The 17,447-nt window shown below is 44.8% G+C and overlaps 1 pseudogene; it reads left to right on the forward strand.

Annotated features, from left to right (window-relative positions):
* Nucleotides 15,786-16,473, forward strand: LOC724104 (SH3 domain binding glutamate rich protein like 3 pseudogene; annotated as a pseudogene).

A 17,447-nucleotide genomic window follows, 5' to 3' on the forward strand; every position in this document is an offset into this window, starting at 1 on the left:
TTGCTGAGAGTAGGTTTCAAATGGTCTCACCACAAAAAGGAAAATGGTAACCATGTGAGGTGATGTTTATGCTAATTAGCTTGATTGTGGTAATCATTTCACAACATGTATGTATATCAAAACATCTCATTGTACACCTAAATATATACAATTTGATTTGTCAATTGTACATCAATAAAGCTGGAAAAATGTATTCAATCCTATATAATAGATTGGGAAATTACATAGCCATATCTGATTATGAATTCAGCAAAGCTTTTAAATATGTTTTTATTTTACTATTCACAAGAGCACCTTGGTGCATTTGAAATTAAATCCTTCAATGTGGAGAAAACAAAACACTGTCTCACTGAGCACAAAGCTTGTTCAATATTTTTGTCAGCGCGATGTATTTTTGTTAGCAATGTTGACCACTGAAATGATTTCCTTAGCAGATAATTTTCCAGTAAACCTCCCACATCATTGCAAACTTCCTGTTCCCAGCTGCTCTTCCTCTTCTTAAGCCCCTCATTATAGGCAGTAGGAGAGCTGATAATCAGCAGAAAATTAAGCTGGCAGGGTGTGTGCTTAAAGGCGTCAATTTCCAAGGGAAGGAAGTGTTCATTTTGTTTTGTTTTATTTTGTTTTTATGAAGCATTGCTTTTTACTTGTGTTGTGCCTTTTGAACTTAAGCATTATTTTTTGACAATGGAGACTTTTGGTTTAGTGCAGTTCTCTGTAACTGGACAGTACTCAATAGAAATTGTTGAATTGAATGTTTAACATATGCTTCTCTTTGACCAAATAAGGAATATTTTATGGGCCATTTTTCATTTTAGATGAGCTTATAGGAATAGGCACTCTTTGGAAATTGGAGAAATTAATTCTTAGGGAGTGTAGTCCAAGTTTAATTCTGGGTCTTTGAGTGATACTTTTAAAACAAGTGCCTTTGACCCTTGATTAAGTACAAAATAAGCACATAGCTAATGTAAACCTCTTAAATCAGTGGTTATCAGGCTTGGCTGCACAGTGGAATAACCTCAAGTGGGATGTGTGGGAGAATTAAAAAAAAATACTGCTGCCCGGGTCTCAGACTCAGAAATCCTTATGTAATTGGTCTAATCTACAGCCTGTCTTCAGGGTTTTTAAAAGCTTCCCAGGAGATGCTAATGGATAGCCAAAGCTGACAACCATTGTCTTTAATGAATGAACACATTTAATCAGCCTGTACTAAGTACTAGGCACTGACGCTAGGCACCTGTTTCTGTTATCTTTTATTAATGTGGAAATTGGCACTCATAGAAGTTGATTTGTTTACCATCACAGAGCAGAAAACTGTTGAAGATGGAAAGCAAACAACAACAACAAAACCTAACAGTCCTATGGCCTCCCCACATTCTTTGCCATTTACATCATAGTAGTTAAAAAATATGCTGGTGACTGCAAAAGCCAATGTATCAACCTTTAAAATGAAGAAATAATGAAATGAAAACTAACTTTGTTGAAGATTAGGACAGTCCTTGGGATGGTATGTGATATAAGTTTTAAACTCTGTGTAAAAATAAAACCTGAGTGCAAAGCCTGTTGGATATATGTCTACTTCTGCCACATTCTATTTTCCAAAACCCAGCAATATCTTCTATTGAATTGGAAATTGTAGACTAATGTTAAGAAGGGCCTAATGTCAGCCCTCACTGCATTGGGCACCAGAGATGTGTTTAGTCACTGAGAAGCAGGACCTGGATAACTGCCACAGAGAAAACAGGGGCTGAGCTGTCCACACAGTGAAACTCACAAGGCACACAATGGCAAAGTCAGTTCATCCAAAGGACCTGTTGTAAACTGCTAGGCTGCGGCACTGAGATTGTGTGTCAGTTACAGATATCCAAGCTGCTTTGAAATCCAGGGAGCAGCTAATCAGTTAAAAAGCGTTCAACTGAGAAAAAACAAAACTTCAACCATACCCAACTGTGACTGTGATGGAGAAGATTAGCGCCTATCTGAAGGTGGTTTGTGACATTAATGTGTGTGTGTGCTGTGTAGGTTTGGTCTGAATAACCCCTTATTCACAGCACCATGATTCAGGTGCCCTGTCAATGCTTCCTTCTTCTCTCTAAATTCTCCTCCTTCAAGGTCTTGCCTCCATCCTCAAACAGTGTTGGTCCATCTGCTGATAAACATATGGAATAAGCAGGACTTGTAGACATTTTTAGACCCTATCTGGAGCAGTGAGAACTGTCTATTTCAGAAAAAGATAGAGACAAAAGCAGATGCAGAAAGGGAGGCAGACACAAAGAATGAAAGTGCCAAGTAAAGAAAGTGACAGGCAGGTTCTTGGAGACTGAGGTAGAGAAGCACAGACAGGATAAGACAGAGAAAAAATAAGGCAGAGACAGGGAGAACCCCAAAAAGAGAGAGAATAGAAAGAAACAGAGGTAGAAACTCTTGAGAAAGCTAGGCAGACAGTAATGACAGCTTCAACCGGTCAGTATTGGAGGGAGAGAGGAATAGAGAGAGGTAGCAGAGGAAGTCAGATAGGAGACAGCGGTAGTCCAAGAGAGACACATTCCGAGCAGAGGCAGACAGGGTGAAAGGGAGATGGAGGTCAGCAGAGAGCTAATGCCAGGCAGGAGTATGGAAAGTTTTGTGTGCATTTCTCCTAGAGAAATGAGAAATGGGACTGGTTTGCCAGGAGAGACAGCCTTTCCAGTCAGGACTCTTGAAGTGTATGATTGTAGTCATCCTAAATGGAAATGGGATTCCTTCCTCCCCAAGCCCATTCCTGCTCCATCTGGAGGGCAGTCTGGTGAATGTGGTTTTCTATGCTGGTATTCTGGGCCGTAGGAGGGCCTCACAGAACTGCAGAATGTTGGAACTGAGATCTGCATGGTAGATGTGTGTGGTTTCTTGGCCAGCCCCTCTTCACTTACCCTGTTTCCAGGAACGGCCTCCAATGTTTGTGGGGGATCCACCCTTCCCCACTTTCCATCCCTGTGGTTTTTGTGGAGTTGACAGTCCCTCCCTACCACCTCGCATTCCAGGGATGGTGTCCGACCCAGGACTGGCATATGATCCAGAGTGTCAGTTTCTCCTGTGGTCAGTGATTGGTTCAGGGATAAGAACATAACTCAGTCTCATTTTGGAGGGTCTGTTTGGGCTTCTGAGTTTGCCCTCAAATCCACATTTGAACCATGGAGACATGTTGGCTGGTACTGGGGCTGCCATCTTGCCGCCATGCATGGTCTGAAATGAAGCCAAACACATGGAGCAGTAGAGAGTAAAATAAAGAACAACTTGGTTCATGTGGCCTCTTTGGAACACTGTTCAAACTGTTTCTGAAGTTAGAACTATCTCTAGATTTTATTTGCAAGAGCCAATAGAGTAACTTTTTGCTTAACAGTTTAAACCAGTTTCAGTTGGATTTTCTGTCACTTGCAACTAAATCCTAACTGATGTAACGTCTTAGATACCATGCATCACCACATTTTATAGAAACTGAGTTTAAGTAATTCATCTAAGACTATGGCTAGTTAGTGGCAGGATATGAACTAGGTTTTTTCTACTATGTACCCCCTTAAACCCACTCTTTCATTCTCTCCACTTTATTTTATTTTTAAATTAAGATATAGGGCTCATTTCAAATATATGTTTTTACTCCAGTGACTTCATAAGTTCTAGAAATGCTAGCCCTAAGCAAAATTGCCACCTGATATGGTTTGGCTGTGTCCCCACCCAAATCTCATCTTGAATTGTGGCTCCCACAATTCCCATGTGTTGTAGGAGGGACCTTCATGGGGTGGGTCTTCCCCATGCTATTCTCATGATAGTGAATATGTCTCATGAGATCTGATGGTTTTATAAAGGGGAGTTTCCCTGCATGAGTTCTCTTCTCTTGTCTGCCACCATGTGAGACATGCCTTTCACCTTCCACCATGATTGTGAGGCCTCCCCAGCCAGGTGGAACTGTGAGTCCACTAAGCCTCTTTCTTTTGTAAATTGCCCAGTCTCAGCTATTTCCCCTTTCTGTGTGTCCTCTCTCCCTTCCTAAGCCATGGTAAGCAGAATATGACAGATATCATTGATACTTTTATGTGAGCTTACCATACAGAACATTTACCTTTTAAAAAAGAACAATAAAAAGATGCCAAATAAATAAATTTCTAATGCAGGAATTCCAAATATTGTAGCATGTGGTTAGAAGACATGCTTTGGAGTTGCCGAAACTTCTTGGAATTCTTTGAACTGTCAGCTCTGAGCACTAGGTCCAATATTTATTTATAAGATTATGAGAGAAATTACTGAAGAATCCTGAAATGTGTCTCTCATATAACAAAGTTTAGAGCAGTGGTTCTCAAACTTCAGTGTGCATTAGAGTTACTGGAAAGCTTACTAAAACACAGATCAGGCCGGGTGCGGTGGCTCACACCTGTAATCCCAGCATTTTGGGAGGCCAAGGTGGGTGGATCGCTTGAGCCTAGAAGTTTGAGACCAGCCTGGGCAACATGGCAAAACCCCGTCTCTACTAAAAACACAAAAATTAGCCAGGCTACTCAGGAGGCTGAGGCAGAAGAATCACTTGAAACTTTTGCTGCGGTGGAGGTTGCTGTGAGCTGAGACTGCGTCACTGCATTCCAGCTTGGGCAACAGAGTGAGACTCAGTCTCAAAAAAACAAACCAAAACAAAACAAAACACAGATTGCTGAGCCCCATTCTAAAGTTTCAGATCTGGTGGGTCTGGAATGAGGCCTGAGAATGTGCATTCCAACAAGCTCCCAAGTGATGCTGATGCCACAGGTCCAGGCACCACACTTTAAAGATCACTGTTTATATGTAAGAATAAACTGAGAAAGGTCGACTATGTGATGTAAAATCTCAATACTGCTTTGCTACAGTCCCAGAAGTTAAGCCTCACTCAGCAAAGATATGGGCTAGGGCTTCTTGAGACACAGCCTGGGCAATGGAGGGTGGGGGCTGGTGTCCTGCAGGTGAACCCACTTGTGAATCAGAAGCCAGAATATAGCCAGGAGTCCATGAGTGCTCAGATCGGCTGATGCTTGGGTGGTAGGAAAACTTTTTGAAATACAAATTTAGGGTTTCCCCCTTTCCCATAATTCCTATTAGTCTAGAAGCTGCCCTACCTGTGCTTCTCTTCCCCAACTCTCTCCATTCCAGGCCACAGCTAGAATAGCTCTATTCTCATTGCATCAGGGAAGGGATGATGTAGTACAAGTAAAAGAAGAAGTCTGTTCCCTGGCTTTCCTATATCTAAGTATGCAGGCAAGTCAGTTCATGAGTGTATGGACAGGGCACTACACTCAGAAGGGCTCTGAACCTGGGGTTTAATGCTCCTTGATGACTGTCTGGATATTTTTAATACTTTAATCTTTGATTTTGTGTCTTGTAAAATCCAATGGGACAATGGCATGTGCTCCAGGGGCTTGGAGCCTTGGCTTTCCTTCAGTCCTGCCTTCCACTTCCTCCAGGAATGGGTTGTCTGCCACTCACTGCCCTGTTTCTGGGTGCCACAGGCCCTACCTGCTTGGCCTTCCTCTCCTTGAGTCCTGCTGTCTGTCTCCTTCCATGCCTGTCAGTGGCCTTTTGGCCCCAGGCTGCTGGTGCCACAGCAATTTGGTAGACAATTCTGCAGAGTCTCTTGCCATTTCCAACCCAGGAGCTAAGTGTGTGCAAGCAGGAAGTTTGCAATCCCTTGGTGTTGCCTGCCTGTCCTGGGTTGGTGCTGTGGGTCCATGGGAAGGGGAGACTGATTTTGTAATCTCCAACCTGAAATTTTCATTGTTCACCAGTTTCAGAAATGCCATAGCTGGCCTGAAACAGCCTCAGGAAACCTCTGCATTTTAGAGTGGCAGTGATGCAACAATGTGTCAGCAATAGCTCGACTGAGATTTTTCACTCTTCCTAGCATTGCATGGGAACAGAAGACTCATCCTTTTCACCTCAAAGAAGTAAAGAAATGAGCAGAGAGAGAGCTGGAACTAGGGAGCCTTGGGTCAGAGATGACTTAGGCAGACCAAAGGCAAAATAGAAAGAGGGATGCCTCAGGGGATGCCAGCGTGGATAGATAGTGACCCAGACTAGGCGAACCCCACAAGTGTGTGCACGGTATAAATTCCATCTTGACAGATTAAGTTCCTGCCATCAGATGAAATGGGGGTTTGAAGTAGAAAATAAGTTGCATTATAGAAAAAGAAAGAATATTAAATTTCTTAGCCAGGCATGGTGGCTCATGCCTGTAAAGCCCAGAACTTTGGGAGATTGAGACAGGCAGAATGCCAGGAGTTTGAGACCAGCCTGGGCAATATGGCGAAACCCCGTCTCTACAAAAAATATAAAAATTAACTGGGCATGGTGGTGCCTGCTTATAGTCCCAGCTACTTGGGAGGCTGAGGTGGGAGGATTGCTTCAGCCCAGGAGGTGGAGGCTGCAGTGAGCTGCAATCACACCACTGCACTCCAGTCTGGGCGACAGAGCGAAACTCTGTCTAAAAAAAAAATAATAATTTCTTGCCTCCTTTTACATAGATTAAGGTTTGCAGCTGCCACGCTTGCCCACAAAATGGGAAGAGGAGTTTGCATGTGTTAACAGCATGCAAGAAAAGGAAACCTCTTATAGGCATGAGAGCTGGGAGAGATTGGTCAGACCTGGCAAGAAACCACTTTTCAGGGGACTTAAAAGAGAGCTCTAAAAGTCAGCCACAAAGGCCAAATTACCCTAGGGGTCAAGAAACATAAAGACTGAGGCTGGTCAGAGGAAGCCTACCAAAGAAGCAGTAAGTATGGATGCACAGCTTTCTTATAAGAGAGCTGTTTAAATTGCTCTTTAAAATATTTTGTTCTATTACAGACATATGTTCCTTTTGTACTTTATCTGGGAGAAAACTTTCCTTAAAGCCACGTAGATAAACGGTTTGGAAAAAAAAAAAATGCTGGTTGCTAAGGGCAATGCCAGGACGCAGGGGAAAAACACTTGATGAAAATTAACAAGAACTGAGTCTCAGAAAGACTGAAAAGAGTGAAGTGACCAAGAAGCCTGATTTTTATTGGAGAAAATTTTGTTTGATTTTTTTCTTTTAATCAATATCTTCTAATTTTTTCTTTTTATTGACATCTTCTAATTTTTCTACAACAAACATGTTTTAGTCGTGCAATTTTTACAAGCAGAGAGACCTCTACAGTGCAAGGGGACTCATAGTGCTTGTGGTAAAGAGGCATTTATGATTCTAATCTCCCTTTCTCTGCATTTGAGAGAAGAGGAGGAAAGAAAGGAGGAAAAAAAAAAGAGAGACAAAAAAAACCATAGTTTCATTTTCTTCCCCATTAGCTGAATCCAGACATAAATGAAAGAACAAATATTTCCAGTGAGGAACCAGGAAGAAAGCAGAGGCAGGGAGGTCCTAAAGGGGACCAGGTCTTTAGAGGCCCAAAGCCTACCCTTAGGAGTCCTCTCAAGGAGTTACTATAGACTCAATAACAGCCTACCTGCAGGATGAACCACAGCAGTTTACTGTGCTTTTGGGATTATACTGGTGGTGACAGGAGGTGGATTTTGTGTCCAGACTAATTCCATGCCAATACAAATTCTCATATAACCAAATATGTTCCAGATTGCAGTAAATAATACAAAGCTCAGATAAAACAGAAACCACTGCATTGAAAGTGCGGGAATAGTTCCCTGGAGCTCCCTGGAACTGGATTTGACTTATGGAAGGTTTTAACTTCTCCATTGGGTGCCAAACCAGCCATAAGAGAGAATTCCTGATATGAATGCAATGCATACCTGTGATAGACCAAAACAGAATAAGCCATTCCAAAAGCCGAAGCACCCAAGGAAAACCAAAAGAGAGAAGAGAAATACAGACTCAGGAAAAAAAAAAAAAAAGGCACTTGATGACTGAGAGTAGATAACTGATTTGTTCTAAGGAATCAGGTAGGGTAAAAAGAGGTTCTTCAGAAGGGGGTCAAATCCTGACTCATTTGAGAGTGTACGCCCTGCTTGGCCAGGTGCCCTTCTGTATTGGGGTGGCCTCTATGCAAAAAGAACTGGATTCTGGCTCTCAGAAGCTCATGTTTCCTCTCTGTCAGGGATCTTGTTTAGCTCATGATGGAAATTTTGTCCTCATCAGCATCAGTTTTCAAAATTCTACACACTGATACAAAATCAAGAGGGAGGGAAGAGTCCCTTTGGGATGTTTCATATCATGAATCATCAGTCCCTTCCTAACTTTCCTGGGAATTTCATCCACATACAGAGGTCCCATTGACTTCTGTGGTTCTTGTCAAAGCCAAATTCAAGAATGGAAAAGATGAGCTGGAGTCAATTTCATGTTTTGGACTCATCAGCTAAGTTCTGTTGCAGTCGGGGGTCAGAGCAGCTTAGCTTTAAAGAGGCAGAAATAAAAGAGCTTGCTATTCAAGTAGCTGGGGGTTTCTAGCCCTCTGATTGTAAATGGATTCAATGATTTATATGCAGATCATTGAGCAGGGGATGAATGAACAGCAGAGCTCTGCAGTGTCCTTTTTAAACATGCAGTTCAGCCTGTTTTGGTGGTAAATGTAAACATGTGCAACTAAAGGAAGTGCTGGTGTCAAAAAGCCTCGCCAATTTTATTTTATTTTAATTCTACAGCACACAAGGGAGGAACAGAGTTTAAGAAAGTTCACTCAAACCTGTGCAATCCAAATGCTTTCTAGAGACATAAAACATTGGGATTTTGAAAGACTTCTCTGACTTAAAGATCCAATAAGAAAAGTTACAGTTTTTTACTCACTTAGGCTAAAGCCTCTCTATATAATATTGCTCACTCTTCCAGGAAGAGAATGGAGGAAAATTGACCATGTCATAGTTATTAGAAATTCGTTCCTTGGAGGCATGAGTTGTTCTGTGTTATCTGTAAATAAGTCATAAGACTTTGCTTCATTCACTCATTCATTCATGGATTCACTTTGTTCATTCAAAGAACATCTATTAAGTCCCTTCCCTGTACCAGGCACTGTGCTAGGCACAGGACATAAAAAATTAAATAAGATGGATTCAGTTTCATGTAAGGTAGAGTAAATAATATCTCTCCCACCAAATGCAGCTATAAAACCTGGATACATTAAGCAGGTATTTAAATACCATGAGAAGTAAATATTAACAGGTAGATTGACGAAAAGACCATAATTTGAAGTACCACTAAACTGATGGTGAGCTTATGATTTTTTTTCTTCTGGTACTCCCCGGCCTAGATTTAAGGCAGACTAAAACCTAGATGTGAGCATTGCCAAGAACAGAGAGAGAGCTGCAGGAAAACCTTTTAGTCCTGACATGAGGAGTGCAAAAGGAGTCTCCTAAATTTTCCATTTTCTTTTGTCCTTCTTTTTCTTTTTTCTAATCTTTCACATCACCCAGCCTGTGATGGCCCGTAGGCACCTAAAACTCAGGGAGAGGAACTTCCTTTCTGATTGGAAGAACTGTGGTTCCCAAAGGGTGGCGCAAATGCCTGTTGTTTTTTTCTCTATCCTCCCACCACTTGGCGCCTGTATTAAAGAGTCTGATTCTATTTTTGATGTTTGACTGCTGACAGCTTTCAAACCTCACCACTCCCCCATACCCTTTGGCCCCACATCTGGGCAGGCTGATGTAAGAGCTCAGATGCTCCCTTGGCACTGGATGGAAGTTCAAACCATGTAAGCTCCAGCCCACATGCAGAAACTCTCACCCCAGCCTCACCCGCTAGCCATCATAAAAACAAGCCAGTACCCTTTGTTGGCTCTCTCAAGCCATTTTCAGATCAACTTGGGGACTCTTTCTGCTTTCCCCAGAAAGCTTCATCATGTGAGTGATAAGCCTCTTCTTCCCCTCTTGTTGCATGTGTGGCATCATTGATCTCAATATCCAAACTAAATTTTGTTTTGGGGAGGGGCCCATTTCATTTTGGTTGAGTGACCACAACAACCCCAGACAAGGGCCCAGTTATGGGAAATGCAGAGCAGATTAGGCTCAAAAAGGGACTTTTAGGCTTTAGGGAACCAGAATGTACCAGGGAGATCTCAGAGAGGAGAGAGCTGGGAAAGTGACCCCATGAAGTTGTTTTAAAAACTTGAGAGTGGGTGCAGTGGCTCACACCTGTAATCTCAGCACTTCAGGAGGCTGAGTAGGGAGGATCCCTTGAGTCTAGGAGCTCGATACTAGCCTAGACAACATAGTGAGACCCTGTGCCTACAAAAAAAAATTAAAATTAGCTGGGCATCGTGGTGTACATCTGTAGTCCCAGCTACTTGAGAGGCTGAGGTGGGAGGACTGCTTGAGTTCAGGAGTTCCAGGTTGCAGTGAGCTATGATCATGACATTGCACTCCAGCCGGGGTGAGACAGCAAGGCCCTGTCTCAGAAAAAGAAAAGACAAGGAAGAAAGAAAGAAAGAGAGAGAGAAAAAGAAAGAAAGAAAAAGAAAGAAGGAAAGAAAGAAAGAGAAAAAAGAAAAAGAAAGAAAAAGAAAGAAAGAAAAGAAAGAAAGAAAAAGAAAGAAAGAAAGAAAGAAAGAAAGAAAGAAAGAAAGAAAGAAAGAAAGAAAGAAAAGAAAAGAAAAGAAAGAAAGAAAAGAAAGAAAGAACAAACTTCGGCTTATTCCCAAATGGTGCATACATAGATCTGACCATGAAAAGCGTATCTTTAAACTTTGAGAACTGAACTATGGGAGAGACCATTACCCATGTGCCAGACTGGCCACTAGGTGGCATATACATCAGCTGGATCTGCATTGCACTGCAAAGCCTTTGCAAACAGAACTGACATTGAAGCTGCAACCCACAGAAGGTTGGTCGGAACTTGGAGCTTGAAATCAACTGGTTTGACTGATGGCTAAAGCAAAAATGTCAACATTCCATCTGATTTAAATAACACCAAGAGTCTCACAAGCTAATATTCAAAATGTCCAGGATATGATCCAAAGTTATTCAGCATACAAAGAACCAAGAAAATATCAATTTACATGTGTTAAAATTCACAAACTGTATACCAAAAAAGTCAGTTTTACTGTATGTTAATTTAAAAAATGATGCCATTTCCTTGCAGTGAGTACACAATCTAGTTAGGGAGATAGAATCATAAATGAATAACGACATGATGTTAAATACCCTATGATGATTTAAAACAAAAACATGGATAGGATAATGCGGGAGCACAGAGGGATACCTAGCCCAGTCTGGGGAGTGGAGATCAGGAGGTTGAGATTAGTTTTCAAGAAGAACAGATGTTTTAATTGATTCTGAAAGAACAAGTAGAAGAAGCTAGGTAAAGTGGCAGAAGGTATTCACTCCTAAATAAGGGGCAGTCTGAGCAAAGATATCAAGAAAAGTAGAGGTGGGAAGTATAAACGGTTCTATTTTATTGGGGTATTAGCTGACAGGCAGAGAGTGGCAGAAAAGATGGTGGATTTCCCAGGACCAGGTCATGGAAGGCTTCAAATACCATCTTATACCACATTTAACCCTATTAGAAATCCTATTGGGAATAAATTCTTAGTTTTGTCAACATTAACACGATGGTCACAGCAAAATCATGGCATCCCTGTGGGCCTTGATCTCTTGTGGCAGAAACTATTGGTATACACCAGGGTCTGTTTGGTCTTCCCTGTTTTGCAGCTTCCCTTGCAATGAGGTTGGCTGTGTGATCAATCCTGCTTATGGATGTGAGGGAAAGTGCTGCATGCCATGCTCTGGGTTTGGATGTTAAGTATCCAGGGTGCCTTTCCAAAAATCTGTTTCCCTTTCACATTGACCTTAGAGGCCATGTGTTGAAGAGCCATCAGACAAGATGGAAGGAACCTGGATCACTGAGTCATCACTTGACTGACCAGGAACATCTATGTGCAATTGCACAAGTGAGCAATAAACTATCCTCCTGTTAAACCACTGAGATTTCATACTTTGTTTTTTAATACATTATAGCCCAGCTTATTTGACTAACAGTTTCTCCATCTCTTTATCAAGAGCATGAATAGCCTTCCTCCAAAGTCTTTCCCAGCTCCATAAATCCAACTTATTCTAAGGAGGCCCTCTCCAGTCAGCTGGCTCCTTCCTGGTGCCTTGCTCAGGCTTCTTGGGATCTGTCCTGCCTATGTTCTTCCTCTCCAGGATAGTTCTATATCTTACCTTGGAGAAGGATCATGACACCAGAGGCACTCAGGATTGGATAGATCCTCAAAGCTCACCTAGTCTACCTTACTTTGTAGTGCCTGAGTCACCTCTGCAACATCCCTGCCAAGTGGTGGTCCAGGGTCTGGTTATTGAAAACCTCCAGTACCCGGAAACTCATTGCTTCGCCATATAAAAGTTCCTTCTTTCTCTACATTCTAAAAAGCACACTGCACTGCCCATAATGACTAACCCCCGTGGACTGCACCTAAGTTCTCCCTATTTTATTTTTTAAATGAATAAGTAGGGACTCCATTTAAATGAATGAATAGTAATTGCACTTGAGATATCTGAGCCTTTTTCTGACCTCTTCCTATTATGGTGACATTTTTTTTTCTTTACACAATGGCTGTGTCTTTGATGAATTTGTGTAGCCTGTATATGAGTTCAGAAATTATCCTTATGTCCATCAACTCCATGTGCCCTCTAGCAGAGAGCCCTTTCTTTGAGAAGATCTTGTCTGTAATGTCAAGGACAAAGTCTGATAATAAGTCATAGCTGTCCTGCAGTTCAAATCTTTGGAATCTTTAAGTCTCTATATGTCCACAGGGAATCTCTAAAACCACAAACATCTTTAAAAGGTCAATACAATGAAAGAAGAAAACAAAAATGAATATCCTTATCTGGCTGGAAAGTTTTAACGTGAAAGCTTTTTGTAGTGAGGGACTCTCTGATATAGAGGCTATTCAGTTCATAATGCTGGATAATCAAACCCAAAACTACAAAAGGAAAAATTGACCAATTTGACACATCAAAATTTCAAATTTTACCTTGCAAAAGACTGCTGAGAGCATGAAAATACAGACTGGAAGAAAACATTTGCAAACCACATATGACAAAGGACTAGTGTTTAGAATATATAAAGAACTCCCAAAACTAAACAGTAAGAGAAAAAATTCCAGTTAGAAAATGGGCAAAAGACATTAATATAGTTTGGATATTTTCTTCCACGCAAATCCCATGTTGAAATGTAATTCCCAATGCTGGAAGTGGGGTCTGGTAGGAGGTGTTTGGGTCATGGGGGCACATCCCTCATGGCTTGGTGCTGTCTTCATGACAGTAAGTTCCCATGAGATCTGGTCATTTAAAAGGTATGTTGCACCTCCCCCACCTTGCTCCTGCTTTTGCCATGTGAAGCGGCTGCTCCTGCTTTGCCTTCCACCATGAATGTAAGCTTCCTGAGGCCTCGCTAGAAGCTGATGCCAGAGCTATGCTTCCTGTACAGCCTGTAGAACCGTGAGCCAATTAAACCTCTAAATTACCCAGTCTCAGGTATTTCTTTCTTTTTTTTTTTTTTTAATTTTCATTTTTATTTTTATTGATCATTCTTGGGTGTTTCTCACAGAGGGGGATTTGGCAGGGTCATAGGACTATAGTGGAGGGAAGGTCAGCAGATAAACAAGTGAACAAAGGTCTCTGGTTTTCCTAGGCAGAGGACCCTGAGGCCTTCCGCAGTGTTTGTGTCCCTGGGTACTTGAGATTAGGGAGTGGTGATGACTCTTAACGAGCATGCTGCCTTCAAGCATCTGTTTAACAAAGCACATCTTGCACCGCCCTTAATCCATTTAACCCTGAGTGGACACAGCACATGTTTCAGAGAGCACAGGGTTGGGGGGTAAGGTCACAGATCAACAGGATAAGAATTTTTCTTAGTACAGAACAAAGTGAAAAGTCTCCCATGTCTACTTCTTTCCACACAGACACCGCAACCATCCGATTTCTCAATCTTTTCCCCACCTTTCCGCCCTTTCTATTCCACAAAACCGCCATTGTCATCATGGCCCGTTCTCAATGAGCTGTTGGGTACACCTCCCAGACGGGGTGGTGGCCGGGCAGAGGCGCTCCTCACTTCCCAGTAGGGGCGGCCGGGCAGAGGCGCCCCTCACATCCCGGACGGGACGGCTGGCCGGGCAGGGGGCTGACCCCCCCCACCTCCCTCCCGGACGGGGCGGCTGGCCGGGCGGGGGGCTGACCCCCCCACCTCCCTCCCGGACGGGGCGGCTGGCCGGGCGGGGGGGCTGACCCCCTCACCTCCCTCCCGGATGGGGCGGCTGGCGGGGCAGGGGGCTGACCCCCCCCACCTCCCTCCCGGACGGGGTGGCTGGCCGGGCAGAGGGGCTCCTCACTTCCCAGTAGGGGCGGCCGGGCAGAGGCGCCCCTCACCTCCCGGACGAGGCGGCTGGCCGGGCGGGGGGCTGACCCCCCCACTTCCCTCCCGGACGGGGCGGCTGGCCGGGCAGAGGGGCTCCTCACTTCCCAGTAGGGGCGGCCGGGCAGAGGCGCCCCTCACCTCCCGGACGGGGCGGCTGGCCTGGCGGGGGGCTGACCCCCACCTCCCTCCCGGACGGGGCAGCTGGCCTGGCGGGGGCTGACCCCCACCTCCCTCCCGGACAGGGCGGCTGCCGGGCGGAGACGCTCCTCACTTCCTAGACGGGGTGGCTGCCGGGCAGAGGGGCTCCTCACTTCTCAGACAGGGCGGTTGCCGGGCGGAGGGTCTCCTCCCTTCTCAGATGGGGCGGCTGGGCAGAGACGCTCCTCACCTCCCAGACGGGGTCGCGGCCAGGCAGAGGCGCTCCTCACATCCCAGACGGGGCGGCGGGGCAAAGGCGCTCCCCACATCTCAGAGGATGGGCGGCCGGGCAGAGACGCTCCTCACTTCCTAGATGGGATGGCGGCCGAGAAGAGGCGCTCCTCACTTCCTAGATGGGATGGCGGCCGGGCAGAGACGCTCCTCACTTTCCAGACTGGGCAGCCAGGCAGAGGGGCTCCTCACATCCCAGACGATGGGTGGCCAGGCAGAGACGCTCCTCACTTCCTAGACGGGGTGGCGGCCGGGCAGAGGCTGCACTCTGGGCACTTTGGGAGGCCAAGGCAGGCGGCTGGGAGGTGGAGGTTGTAGCGAGCCGAGATCACGCCACTGCACTCCAGCCTGGGCACCATTGAGCACTGAGTGAACCAGACACCATCTGCAATCCCGGCACCTCCGGAGGCCAAGGCTGGCGGATCACTCGCGGTTAGGAGCTGGAGACCAGCCCGGCCAACACAGCAAAACCCCGTCTCCACCAAAAAAATACGAAAACCAGTCAGGCGTGGCGGCGTGCGCCTGCAATCGCAGGCACTCGGCAGGCTGAGGCAGGAGAATCAGGCAGGGAGGTTGCAGTGAGCCGAGATGGCAGCAGTACAGGCCAGCTTCGGCTCGGCATCAGAGGGAGACCGTGGAAAGAGACGGAGAGGGAGACCGTGGGGAGAGGGAGACCATGGGGAGGGGGAGAGGGAGACGGAGACCGTGGGGAGAGGGAGACCATGGGGAGAGGGAGAGGGAGAGGGAGAGGGAGAGGGAGAGGGAGACTGAGACAGAGTCTTGCTCTGTTGCCCAGGATGGAGTGCAGTGGCGCGATTTTGGCTCACTGTAACCTCTGCCCCACCCCGGTTCAAGCGATTCTCCTGCCTCAACCTCCCGAATAGCTGGGACTACAGGCTCAGGTATTTCTTTAAAGCAATGCAAGAACGGCCTAATGCAGACATAAAGAGACATTTCACCTAATAGTGGCAAATAAGCCCATGAAAATCTCATCGTTAGCCATTAGAGAAATGCAAATTAAAACCGCGATGAAGTCTCCTCATAGTGCAGCTGCCATTACCGCTGCCCTCTGCCCTCCGGCCTGTCAATCTACCTGCAGCATGAGCAGCCTGCACCTCTACAGCACATCGGTCACTGGCTCCCACAAAATCAAGTCCCAGCAGAGTGAGGTGACCTGAATCCTGGATAGGAAGCGCATCTAATACCAACTAGTGGACATCTCCCAGGACAACGCCCTGAGGGATGAGATGCGAGTCTTGGTGGGCAACTCCAAGGCTGCCCCACCCCGGATTGTCAATGGGGACCACTACCGTGGAGGCTTTGAGCTCTTCATGGAGGCTGTGGAACAAAACATGCTGCAGGAGTTCCTGAAACCGGCCTGAGTCAAGCTGGCCCACAGTTCCCCTGCTGGACTCCATCACCACACTCTACTTACAGCTCTCACCTGGCCAAGAAAGACCTTGTGACCAACTCCCTGTCATTCCTAACTTGACCTTAGAGTCCCTCTCCACAACACAAACCACTTCTCCCCCTTTCTAAATGTAGTCTCCTCTTCTCTATTCAAAGGCAACATTCCTTACCCACTAGTCTCAGAAATTGTCTTAAGCGACAGCTCCAAATGCTGGCATCTCTGTTGCTTCCATCGGCCAGAGCTTTGCCAAAGGCCCCACAATCCCTCTCCAGGAGGACCCTAAGGACAATTAAATGTGCTGTTCCATTGGAAAACACACACACACACACACACACACACACACAACAAAAGAGAAAACCATGATGCAATATCACTACACACCTAGCAGAAGGGCTAACGTATAAAATAGTGACACCACCAAATCTGGCAAGAATGTGGAGAAACTGGATCACTCATTCATTGCTAGTAGGAATATAAAATGGTACAGCTTACTCTGGAAAACAGTTTGGCAGTGTCTTAAAAAACTAAATATGTACGTGTTATATAATTCCACTCAGAGACATTTATCTCAGGGAAATAAAAATGTATCTTCACAAAAATGATCTGTATACAAATGTTTATAGCAGGTTTATTCTTAATAGCCCAAACCTGGAAACAATTCAGATGGTTAAACAAACTGTGGCATATCCATACCGTGGAATACTGGTTAGCAATAAAAAGGAATGAACTACTGATACGTGCAACGACCTGGATGAATCTCCAGAAAATTATGCTGAGTGAACAAAGCTAATCCCTAAAGGTTGCTCATGGTATGATTATATTTATATAACATTCTTGAAATGACAAAATTATAGAAATGGAGAACAGATGAGAGCTTACCAGAGGATAAAGAGAAAGTTGCAGTGGGTGGGGAAGTGGGTGTGGTTATAAAAGACCCACGGGAGGAAAGGATATTTGTGGTGATGAAAATGTTCTGTATCTTGACGGTATCAAAGTCAATGTCCTGTTTGTGATATTGTATTATTAGAATTTTGGAAGATATTAACATTGGGGGAAACACCATTGAGGGAAACTGTTTGTGTTATTTCTTACAACTGCATGTAATTCTGCAACTATCTCAATATAAAAAAATTAATTTTAAAAACACTCCCCAGCCGGGCATGGTGGCTCATGCCTGTAATCCCAGCACTTTGGGAGGCGGAGGCGGTGCGGGGAGGGGGGATCACCTGACGTCAGGAGTTTGAGACTAGCCTGGCCAACATAGTGAAACCCTGTCTCTACTAA

The sequence above is a fragment of the Homo sapiens genome, chromosome 6, assembly GCF_000001405.40.
Source record: "Homo sapiens chromosome 6, GRCh38.p14 Primary Assembly".
NCBI lineage: Eukaryota > Metazoa > Chordata > Mammalia > Primates > Hominidae > Homo > Homo sapiens.